The sequence below is a fragment of the Homo sapiens genome, chromosome 18 (assembly GCF_000001405.40).
Source record: "Homo sapiens chromosome 18, GRCh38.p14 Primary Assembly".
Lineage (NCBI taxonomy): Eukaryota > Metazoa > Chordata > Mammalia > Primates > Hominidae > Homo > Homo sapiens.
Window position 1 is genome coordinate 31274929 of NC_000018.10, and position 11578 is coordinate 31286506.

The 11578-nt window shown below is 39.1% G+C and overlaps 1 long non-coding RNA gene across 1 annotated transcript; it reads right to left on the minus strand.

Moving 5' to 3' along the window:
• Positions 1–3370: 3370 nt before the first annotated feature.
• On the minus strand, positions 3371–5734 carry LOC124904346 (uncharacterized). The gene is made up of 2 exons (XR_007066446.1): positions 5647–5734; positions 3371–5249 (listed from the first exon to the last, which is right to left on the minus strand). It is a non-coding gene; the product is annotated as an uncharacterized LOC124904346 (long non-coding RNA).
• Between the last annotated feature and the right edge of the window lie 5844 nt (positions 5735–11578).

An 11578-nucleotide genomic window follows, 5' to 3' on the forward strand; every position in this document is an offset into this window, starting at 1 on the left:
TCCCTAATTTAGCCTTCTCTCCTGCCTGCTTGCTTACAAACTCCCAAGTTCATATTTTAAGCAATTTCAATCAGGACAGATTAATAAATCCCAGCCTATTCATGGGAATTAACTAATTCAGAATGAATCTTTCCTAATTGTTTTGTGTTCACATGGGTGTTTGCTTTGGCCCCTCTCCAAGCCTCCAGCCAAGGGAGAACATTGTCTCACCACACCCAACTAAAAACAGAGTCAAGGAATGATTCCTTTGGTGAAAGCGTCACTGAATAAGCAGTTTTAGCTTGGTGCGTGTGTGTGTGTTTTTTAAAAGGAGATCTGTTTGTAGATTGTCAACAAAGCAGTTTCCACATAGAAGAATACCAATTCCTATTGTTGCTTTTTTTCCTAGCAATAACATTCTGAAATTTGCAATCTTTAGCACCAAGTTTTTAAAATCCTAAATGACATGTTGTTTTTTCCTGTATGAAAGTTTTCTTAAAAAGCAAATTGTAATTATTTTCTCAATCGTTTTCTTTTTGTTTTTCACCTCTACCCTTCCAAAATAACATAATTTCTGATAGTGTCATCTTTTAAATTTTAAAAGCGCATTCCTGAGTTAGCTCTTTCTTTTCAGAAGGCAAACATTGGTGCTCCAGTATAAAAACTAAAAGGTGCTGACACTATTATGGCACAGAACTTTTTACATAGTTTCTTGCCCTTCTGCATATGAAAGTCCAGAATTAGTTATTACATGGTTGGATCTGGGGACTGTGTCTGAGCCCACCAGAGAAGCCTGGTCCAAGCTTCCCATATCAGGGATCTCTTAATTTTTGAAGAATAATGCAGATTGGGTGCTTATAAAAAAAAAAAAAAAAAGAGAAATATGCCCATGAGCTGAATTGATATTCTAGAGAAAAATGGAGAGGCTTTCATAGAGAAATGAGGAAGTGCTAGTGAGGTTTTAGAGCCTCTGGTTCCTCTCCAAATCTACATCCAGGAAGTATCACCACCACTTTCCAAGGTGATGAATCAGACAATCCACTCCTCTCAGGAGCGGTTTCTGCAGTGGTGGCTGGCAAAGCACTTAGCTTGAGGGTTCATAAACACTTTTTGAAAATGGTAGTGATGACAGGCTCGGTGGTCTTTTGCCATAAGGCTTATGGGAGAAGGATTTTAGTCGTAGGGTTTTAAATAAATGCCACTGATAAGAGCTCAATGAGATAAAAAATATGTGTAGATGTAAGAACACAAACAGAAATTTGAAAACATCTTTGTCTTCCACAAGGTCATAAGAATCATAAGAATTTACTTTTGACCCAGAAAGTGAATGACTGACTTCCTTTCATGGTATGTTAATGCTGACCTAAGATAAAATATATAAACATCAAATAAGTATGTCATGTGTATGCTTTCAGAGTGTGGAGGAGGTGTCTGATCCTGCAACATAAATGTTCTGGTGGTATTTACCAAGTAACCTCTCATTTGGAAAAATAAAAACTTATCTGTCTCTTATTTTCTAAAAATTCTCCCCATTTTATAATGTTCTCCAGTTAAGAAAACTAGGTCTCTTTAACTCCTTTAGGGGACACCAAAAGCCAAATCAAACTAGGTAAGTTTCTGCTTTATTTTTCACAGCACAAATTTAAATATTGCCAAGTCTCATAAACCACGCCCTGTTTGTGAATGAATCTCAGGGAACATTTCAAAAACAACAGAGCAGACCTTTTGATTTTCCTTATCCACATTCTTTATTCTTCTCTTATTTCATATCCCTTTTTTGTACTTTCTTGATTAAAAAGAGAAACATAAACATTCTGTTCTAACACCTCCAATCCAATCTATATAAATGATGCTACCTGACTGCACTTCGCAATACTTAGTAAACTGTGCTCCCACGTTGCTCTGTATTTGTTTTTTATGTTTTTATATTTATTTTTTATATTGCTGTATTTATTTTTTATATTGCTTTTCACTATTCGGGAAACAATCCACAAGCATTTACTAAGCACATTCCACCTATTTAGTCTCTAGTATTAATTTCCTCCTTCTTGGAAAACTTAAGTTACACTGTGAAGGGCTCTGTGAAAGATGAGAAGGTTCTAACCCCTTTCTCCTGGAAGCTAACGTGTGCATGCGTGCACGTGTGTATAAAAGAGCAGGGTGAGTACATGAGGGATATATGTATAAACAATCAACTGCACTTCAAGTCAGAATGAGGAAAGTGATCACAGTATTTTAGATGTGTCTCTTCTGATTGTAAGACACATACCCACAAGGTCTGTGAAGCAGGCAGCTTGAGAGGAAGAAGATGGGCAGAGAATGAGGAGGAGGAGGCATTCTCTCCTGAGGCAGGGGAGTGATGGGCAAGTGCCCTGCGTGAGGGAGCTGAGCTGCCTGCGTAGGTGATTTAGTGCATGCCTATTTGCCTTAATCTCTAGGACATCGAATGTGTCCATGAGATGGCCTCTGATATGGCTTGGATGTTTGCCCTTGCCGAATCTCATGTTCAGTTGTAATCCTCAATGTTGAAGGTGGGGCCTGGTGGGAGGTAACTGGATCACGGGGCTGGTTTCTCATGGTTTAACACCATCCCCTTTTGGTGCTGCCATCGAGATAGTGAGTTCTCATGAGATCTAATTGTTTAAAAGCGTGTGGCACCTCCTCCCTCTCTCTCTTGCTTGTACTCCTTCCATGTGATGGGTGTGCTCCCCCTTTGCCTTCTGTCATGGTTGTAAGTTTCCTGAGGCCTCCCCAGAAGCTGAGCAGATGCCAGCATTATGCTTGCTGTACAGCCTGTGGAACCATGAGCCAATTAAACCTCTTTATTTTCATATATAAATTACCCAGTCTCAGGTATTTCTTTATAGCGATGCAAGAAGGAGCTAATACAACCTTGATGACCACACAGGATGCTCAAGTTAATACATTGTAATATACACATCGTCCTGAATGAGTGGGTTTTCTTTCATCTCTGTCAGAATGTAGCGTCTCATTCAAACACTATTTTCTTTGTAGTCAAAAGTGTCCCATTGAGTTTAGACCTTAGGGAGATAATGTTTTGAACCTGGTTTGAGCCTTAAATTTCATGTGCTTTTAGGTCTTCAGTTTTTTAAACAAAAAACCTTAAAGCTAAAAATACTCAACAATAAATTCAGAAAACGTAAGATGATTTCCTAGGATTCTTTTTTGGGAGGCTGAGGGGGACGTGAAAGAGAGTTCCTTGAACTTCCTTTGTGGACTTACAACATCACTTTCTCCTGATTCTCTGATCACTTTTTTTCTTAAAGGATTAAAAGTCATTTGTTATTTCACCAATGTGTTCATTTACTCAGCATTTATGATAGCATATTGCAGTCCAAGCATTGTGAGAACTCAAGGAGCTCAAAGAGTATTTTTGGTTTGTCATTTTTTCCTTTTATTTTGGTTTTTAGGCTGAAACTAAAAAAATAAAATGAGATAAATGCTCTGCCAGGAGAAGCCCAGAGCACCCAGGGAGCCTGGAGGAAGAATCTTTTCTTCCTATCCAGAGAAGTCAGGAAGAACTCCAGAGCTTAGTCCAAGCTGAGCCTTTGAAGATTAAGAAGTGGCCAAGCACAGGGCACAGAATGTGAAAGTATATAAAGGCAAGAGGGAATATGAAAAGTGGTGGGAAACTGAGGAGGATAGAAAGGGCCAACCAAAAAACAGCAAAAAAATGCAGTGGGAGTGGCTGCTGATGCCACTCAACTGGGGGAAAGATGGCAAGTTAGAGGAAAGCAGGCTGAGTTTGTGCTGCCTGGGGCCACCCCTGTTTACTCTTGTTTTACTCCCTGGACTCCCTATTTGAATACTGTCAGAGATGACTGCAATTCCACAGAAGGCATTCAAGGCCCTGCTATCCTATCTCCAGTGACAACTTTCCAGCCTGACCTTCACACTACTGATCTCCCTGCTCTCAAGCACACCCTGCAAGCTCAAACTCTGAGCCTTTGCTTATCTAGGCTCGGCTGAGCTTTATGCTACTTGGTGAAGTCTGACTCATTCTGCAGGGTCCATTTAAATGTACCTTCTGTGTAAAGCACTCTGGGACTCCTTATAAGCCCTAAATCAAAATGAATAACTGTCTCCTGTATGCTGCCATGATACTGTACTTTAATCTTCTTCCATTAAATGAGCACTTATAACATTGGACTCAGAATAGCTAGTAAGTAGCTGTAGATACTATGTGCTATGTATAAGTTATTTCTTTAACTATGCTAGCTCATTTAATATTCATAACTGATCTATGAGGATCATACTATTACCTTATTTTACAAATATGCAAACTGGGGCAGAGAAAATTGAAGTAACCTACCCAAGACCACACAGCTAACAAATAAGAAAGCCAGGATTCAACCCAGCCAGCCTGCCTTTAGGGTCCATACTCCTATGGTGAACTCTCCTATAATGAACTCCGGAAAACTAAGACTGGGTTTCACTCACCCTTGTATGCCCACTAGCTCTAGGGCTGGAAACACTCCATGACCATCTGTTACATTATTATTTATGTTAAGACTTTTAAAACTCGGATGATAACTTTTAATAACTTCCTGTGATAATATCTTCTGGTCTCACTGCTGTATGATCAGGAAGCTGTTTATAATATTTATCTTTAATCTTCCTTACTATTGTCAAAATACATCCTCTCTGGTTCAATAATCACTGGACCACCAAAAAACTCTTGTCTTCAATTCAAAATTCAATTCTGTCTTCAATTTTAGAAAAAGCCTTCTGTCTCTACTGGATCCTCCCCATCAATGTACAAATGTACTTCTGTTTTTTCTCATCTTAAAAATTTTGTTAAAAAATACCAAAATCTGTTACTCCCACTTTTCTTCCCTGCTACATCTCCATTTTTCTTACCCTTTAGAGCAAAACTCTCAGCAAGATTTGCACATACCCACTTTCACATTTCCTCTCCTCTCATTCTCCCTTAAACCCATTCCAATCAGGCTTTCATCCCCACTATTTCTCAGAAACTGGACGCAACTAATGGTCATTTTCCTATCAGTCCTATGGTGTGACCTATCTGCATTATTCAGTCGAATTGATCATCTTTCTTTAAAATTGTTTCTTCATTTAAGCCACAGTGTTCCACAGGTTTCTCTCTTCTTACTCTTCACCACTTTGTCGATTCATTTCCTGTGTCTGCTTCTTTTTCCTGAGTACTCACATTTAAAATTCCACAAGATTTAGCCCTTGGTTCTCCTTTCTTGCCACACTCCATTGATTGTATCCTCTGGTCTCAAGGCCTGAAAAAACATGTGGACACCAATGACTATCAAACTTACATCTCCAGCCCAGACCTCTTTCCTGAACTCCGTCTGTATTTATCCAACAGCTTATTCAATATCTGCTCTTAGATGTCTGACAGACATCTCAAACTTAACATGTCCCAACTGAATTCATCTTCAGCACCCTCATTCTGTCCCCAAATCATGACCTTCATTGTTTTCCCCATCACAATAAATTGTAACTCTATCCTTTCCATCATTCAGACCAAAAATCTTAGTAACATCTTTGCCTCCCCTCTTTCTTTCATACCCCATATCCAACCTGTCTGTGAAGCCAACTTCCAAACTTTATTCAGGACCACTTCCTCCCACCTCCATTACTACAATGTTAATGTTAGCAACCAAGATTACTCACCTGGATTACCGTGAAAACCTCTTAGCTACATGACTGCCACTCTTCCACATCTCTTTTCTGTTTTCCACATTGCAGTGAGAGGCATCCTCTGAAAATAGAAGTCAAATCACATCATGTCTCTGTTCAAAATCCAGCAACACTTTACCATATCCAGAGCAAAAGTCAAATTCCTAATGATGTCTTTACAAAGGCCCCATATCATCTGTTCCGCTCTTCCCTTCAGTTTTCTGACCTACTCTCCTTCTCCTCTATTTTGTTTTAGGTATTTCTGCTTTAAGATATTTGCTTTGGATGTTTCCTCTACCTGAGAGGTTCATCCTTCAGATATCTGCATGGAAAATTCCCTTGACTGTTCGAAGTTATGTGCTCAAAAATCATGTGTTCAGTACAGCTCATCCTGATCATCCTGTTTAACAGTGGCTGGTCCCCGCTCTTTTAAATTCCCCTTCCTCTGCTCTAACCTTCCCATGACACTCAATACTTTCCTACATGCTATGTAATTTACTTATTATTTTATTGTTCTTGTCTGTCTCCTTCCACCAGACTGAAAGCCTCAATAACTCAGGGATTTTAACTATTTTATTTACTTCTGTATCCTAAATACTTAGAATACTTACTAGCACATGGTGAGAACTAATAAATGTTTGCTAAATGAATAGATAGGAAAATAACTATCCTCCCTCAGGCTTTAACTTCCTAGACTGAATAAACAGAGTTCATTAACTTTTAAGTCTAACTTCCAACATGAATACTTTTTTTTATGATTCTCTTCTGGCTTGTCTCCCCATTTTAGTATTTATTACATGTTATGAATTCAAAATTGAATTCAGAATTTCAATAAAGCTTGTATAGTCTGAGAGTAGAAGAATATTGACACTGAAATTCTCTAACTATTGATCCATATTTATCATGGAACTGCTACTTGATTTCTGACATCATTCCAGAAACTAAAAACAAACTTCTCCTAGAGGAAGCAACAGTAAACTTGAATTCCTTCTTCAATGGTAAATATGCCTGACCTTTGATAACCACATGGTTTGAATGGGCAGATTACTTGTTCACTAGCATAACAATTTCCTGACCCCCTGTAGATACCTTACACTAGGAAGCCATACATTTTAACATTATAAAACCTTCAATTACTATCTACTGGTTTCATGTACCATTCCACATGCTTAGAATCTGTGGTTCCAAAAGATAAGTGGGTTTCTCCTTTTACCTTCTCTTATAGCCAGCAACACTTAAATTACTCTGGAATATTTATGAGAATCTTATTTTGTTATTTGAAAATAATTATTATGCAATTGTCAAAGAAACTAAATGTGACCAAATTTTAGAGCTAACAAAATTTAATCTTGAGTCTAGCATGATTTTTACCTTGGTGCCTCATTGACACAATTATCTATCAAAGTTTTTAAAAACATGCTTTTTTACTTGATGGGCAGGTGGGTGGAGGGGTCGGTAGGGTGGCAGAAATGCACAGTTTGAGGGGTGTTTGTTTTTATTTTTTCATGCATTTTCATAAAGCATGATGTTTTGGCAGCAGAACTTGATGATAATTTTGTCTGGTTAAAGGTACATACTAGTTTTCCTTGTTGAGATTTTACAAGAGATGTTCTCAGAGAGAGCAACTAAGGCATAATTTCTTCTGCCTTGTAGTCAGCTCTGTTCACATCAGAGCCCGAGAGAAAATAGGGCATCTTGGAATCAACAAGGACTTTATAATCACTCACATTGTGATTTGAATACAATTTGCACTACTTCATTCAATAAATATTTATTGATATCTATTTTATGCCAATTCTGGTTTGAATGCTGGAGATAAAGTAGTTCACAAGAAACACGAGTTTCCTATTTTCATGAAGCTTAAACCCTGCACTTAAAAATCTCTTTGGTTAAACCTGACAGTGTAATTGAGAGTTTGAGATAACTTAGGTAAGGTACTGAGATAAAACTTACGTCAAGTGCCTAGACAGTATTTCAGTTTCTGGGGTGAATTTCAGTTTCAGCATCCCTATCCCTACCATAACAATGCCTAACCATGGTTACACAAAGCATTTCCAATTTAGTGTTCACAGTGTTAATTTGTTATTAATGAATTGATTTAAGCATTTTTTAAAACAATTTAGTTTACTAGCCACACACCATTTCTTGGGAGTAATTTTTTTCTGAACTGTTCTATTGGGTAATGGATAGAACACTAGAAAGAGAGTAAGGCTTATGCTACCTCAAGCTTTTGTGAAAAGATGAGTCCGTCTTTTTACCTCTCTAGGTCTGCGTCATACGGAGAATAAAAAAGTAGAACTTGATCTAATGACATCAAAGTTCCTTTGCAGTTGCAAGCTTTTGTGATTCTACTTCCTTTTATTATCCAAAACTTGCCCTTTTAAGTATCAAAGGATATTCTATATTTGTTACACTATGTTCATTCATATTCAATGTTCACTCATACATTTTATAATTATATAAATTTAGAATATATTTTTAAAGTTTAACACTTTTATTTTTATTTTTTTCTTCAACTTTTATTTTCAGTTCCGGGGTACGTGTCCAGGATGTGCAGGTTGTTACATAGGTAATTATGTGCCATGGTGGTTTGCTGCACCAATCATACCATCACCTAGGTATTAAGCCCAGCATCCATTAGCTATTCTTCCTGATGCTCTCCCTCCCCCAACTTCCCCTCTCCCACAGGCCCTAGTGTGTGTTGTTCCCCAACACATGTCCATGTGTTCTCATCATTCAGCTCCCACTTACAAGTGAGAACATGTGGTTTTGCTTTTCTGTTCCTGCCTTATTTTGGTGAGGATAATGGCTTCCAACTTTATCCATATCCCTGCAAATGACATGATCTTTTTCCTTTTTATGGCTGCATAGCATCCCATGGTGCACATGTACCACATTTTCTTTACCTAGTCTACCGTTGATGGGTGTTTAAGTTGATTCCATGTCTTTGCTATTGTGAATAGTGCTGCAATGAACACATGTGTGCATGTATCTTTATAATAGAATGATTTATATTCCTCTGGGTATATACACAGCAATGGGATTGCTGGGTCAAATGGTAATTCTGCCTCTAGGTCCTTGAGGAATTGCTACCTACACTGTCTTCTACAATGGCGGAATTAATTTACGCTCCCACCAGCAATGTAAAAGCATTCCTTTTTATCCACAACTTCACCAGCATCTGTTGATTTTTTACTTTTTAATAATAGCCATTCTGACTGGCGTGAGATGGTATTTCATTGTTGATTTGATTTGCATTTCTCTTATGATCAGTGATGTTGAGCTTTTGTTCATATGTTTCTTGGCCACATGTATGTCTTCTTTTGAGAAGTGTCTGTTCATGTCTTTTGCCCAATTTGTAATGGAGTCATTTTTTTTTCTTGTAAATTTGTTTAAGTTCCTTGTACATTCTAGATATTAGACCTTTGTCAGATAAATAGATTGCAAAAAAAATTCTCATATTCTGTAGGTTGTCTGTCAATCTGATAGTTTCTTTTGCTATACAGAAGCTCTTTAGTTTAACTAGATCCCATTTGTCAATTTTTGCTCTAGTTGCAATTGGTTTTGATGTTTTTGTCATGAAACATTTGTCTGTGTCTGTGTCCGAAATGATATTTTTCACTCGTGTCCGTGTAAAGAGACCACCAAGCAGGATTTGTGTGAGCAACTAGGCTGTTTATTTCACCTGGGTGCAGGTGGGCTGAGTCCAAAAAGAGAGTCAGCAAAGGGAGATAGGGGTGGGGCCGTTTTATAGGATTTGGGTAGGTAGTGGAAAATTACAGTCAAAGGGGGTTGTTCTCTGGGTGGCAGGGGTGGGGGTCACAAGGTGCTCAGTGGGGGACCTTTTGAGCCAGGATGAGCCAGGAGAAGGAATTTCACAAGGTAATGTCATCAGTTAAGGCAGGAACAGGCCATTTGCACTTCTTTTGTGATTCTTCAGTTACTTCAGGCCATCTGGATGTATATGATGTGCAGGTCACAGGGGATATGATGGCTTAGCTTGGTCTCAGAGGCCTGACATTCCTGTCTTCTTATATTAATAAGAAAAATAATATAAAATAGTACTGAAGTGTTGGGGCAGTAAAAATTTGGGGGGTGGTATGGAGAGATAATGGGCGATATTTCTCAGGGCCGCTTCGAGCAGGATTAGGGGCAGCGTGGGAACCTAGAGTGGGAGAGATTAAGCTGAAGGAAGATTTTGTGGTAAGGGGTGATATTGTGGGGTTGTTAGAAGGAGCATTTGTTGTATAGAATGATTGGTGATGGTCTGGATATGGTTTTGGATGAATTGAGAAACTAAACGGAAGACACAAGATCCAAATAAGAGAAGGAGAAAAACAGATATTAAAGGACTAAGAATTGGAAGGACCCAGGACATCTAATTAGAGAGTGTCCAAGGGGGTCCAAGGGGGTTTAGCCTAATTACTTGCTTGGTAGGCAAGTTTTTAGGCTCCATATTTGAGGGTTTTTTTTAATGTTGTCATATACCAGGCCAGATTGATTTAGGTAAAAAGAGCACTCTTCATTTAAAAATATAGAGTCCCCCCAACCTTTTTTTTTTTAAGCAATGAGTAAGTCAAGGCCTCGGCGATTTTGGGGGAAAGAGAAATGCAAAGCCAGCAATTGTTTGTTAAAGAAGGATTAGAAACAACTAGGAGAGAGTGACTGAGATGGATAGTGTGGCGGACATAGCTGGGGAGAGGTAGAGGGTGGCATAAGAATGGGAACGAGAATAAGAGTAAGTATAAAAGTAAAGAATAGGACTTCATCAGGGTGAAAGTATTGGAGTGTACTTTGTCACTGAAGATCTATCCACTTAAAGAGAGACTTAAGGGTGGCAGTTTGAGGTAAAACCAGGTGCCAGTGAATACCAAGAGCCTGAGAAATTGTTTGGGTGATTTGACTAATAAAGGCCAGTTCATTATTAGACTGTATAGAGGTGGGAAGGCCAAACTGAGGAATTATGTCTTACAGAAGGGAAAAAATGACTGTGGTGGCCTTTTCAAACCCTATGGGAAAGGCCTCTACCCATCCAGTGAAAGTGTCTACCCAGACCAAGAGGTATTTTAGTTTCCTGACTTGAGGCATGTGAGTAAAGTCAATTAGCCAGTCCTGGGCAGGGGGGAATCCCTGAGCTTGATGTGTAGGGAAGGGAGGGGGCCTAAACAACCCCTGAGGAGTAGTAGAATAGCAGATGGAACACTGAGAAGTGATTTCCTTAAGGATAGAGTTCCACGATGGAAAGGAAATGAGAGGTTCTAAGAGGCAGGCTAGCAGCTTGTAACCTACATGGAAGAGGTTATGAAATGACAATAGAATAGAATGGGTCTGTGAGGCTGGAAGGAGATATTTTCCTTGGTCCAAGAGCCATTTGCCTTGTGTGGGAAGAGATTGATAGGTGGAAGTTTCAGTGGGAGAGTAGGTGGGAGTGACCGATGAGAAGGAGAAAAACTGGCCATGGGGGATAGAAGTTGGAATGCTAGCTGATTCTTTAGCTACCTTATCAGCATTAGCATTGCCCTGAGCGATGGGACCTAATGCCTTTTGATGGCCCTTGCCATCAAAAGTGAATGACTCCAGCTTCCTTTGGAAGTAAAGCGGCCTTGAAAAGGGTTTTTATTAAGGAGGCATTAATGATGGAGGACCCTTATGTAGTGAGGGAACCTCTTTCTGCCCATATAACAGCATGGTGGTTCAGGATATGGAAAGGATATTTAGAGTCAGTATAAATATTGACGCATAGTCCTTTTGCAAGAGTGAGAGCTCGAGTTAAGGAAATGAGTTCAGCTTGCTGAGAGGTAGTGGAGGGGGGCAGAGCAGTAGCCTCAATGATAGATGTGGTAGATACTATAGCATAGCCTGCCTTTGCTGGTGAGTGGCGATGAGGCCTGGTGGAACTGCCATCAATAAACAAAGTGTGTTCAGG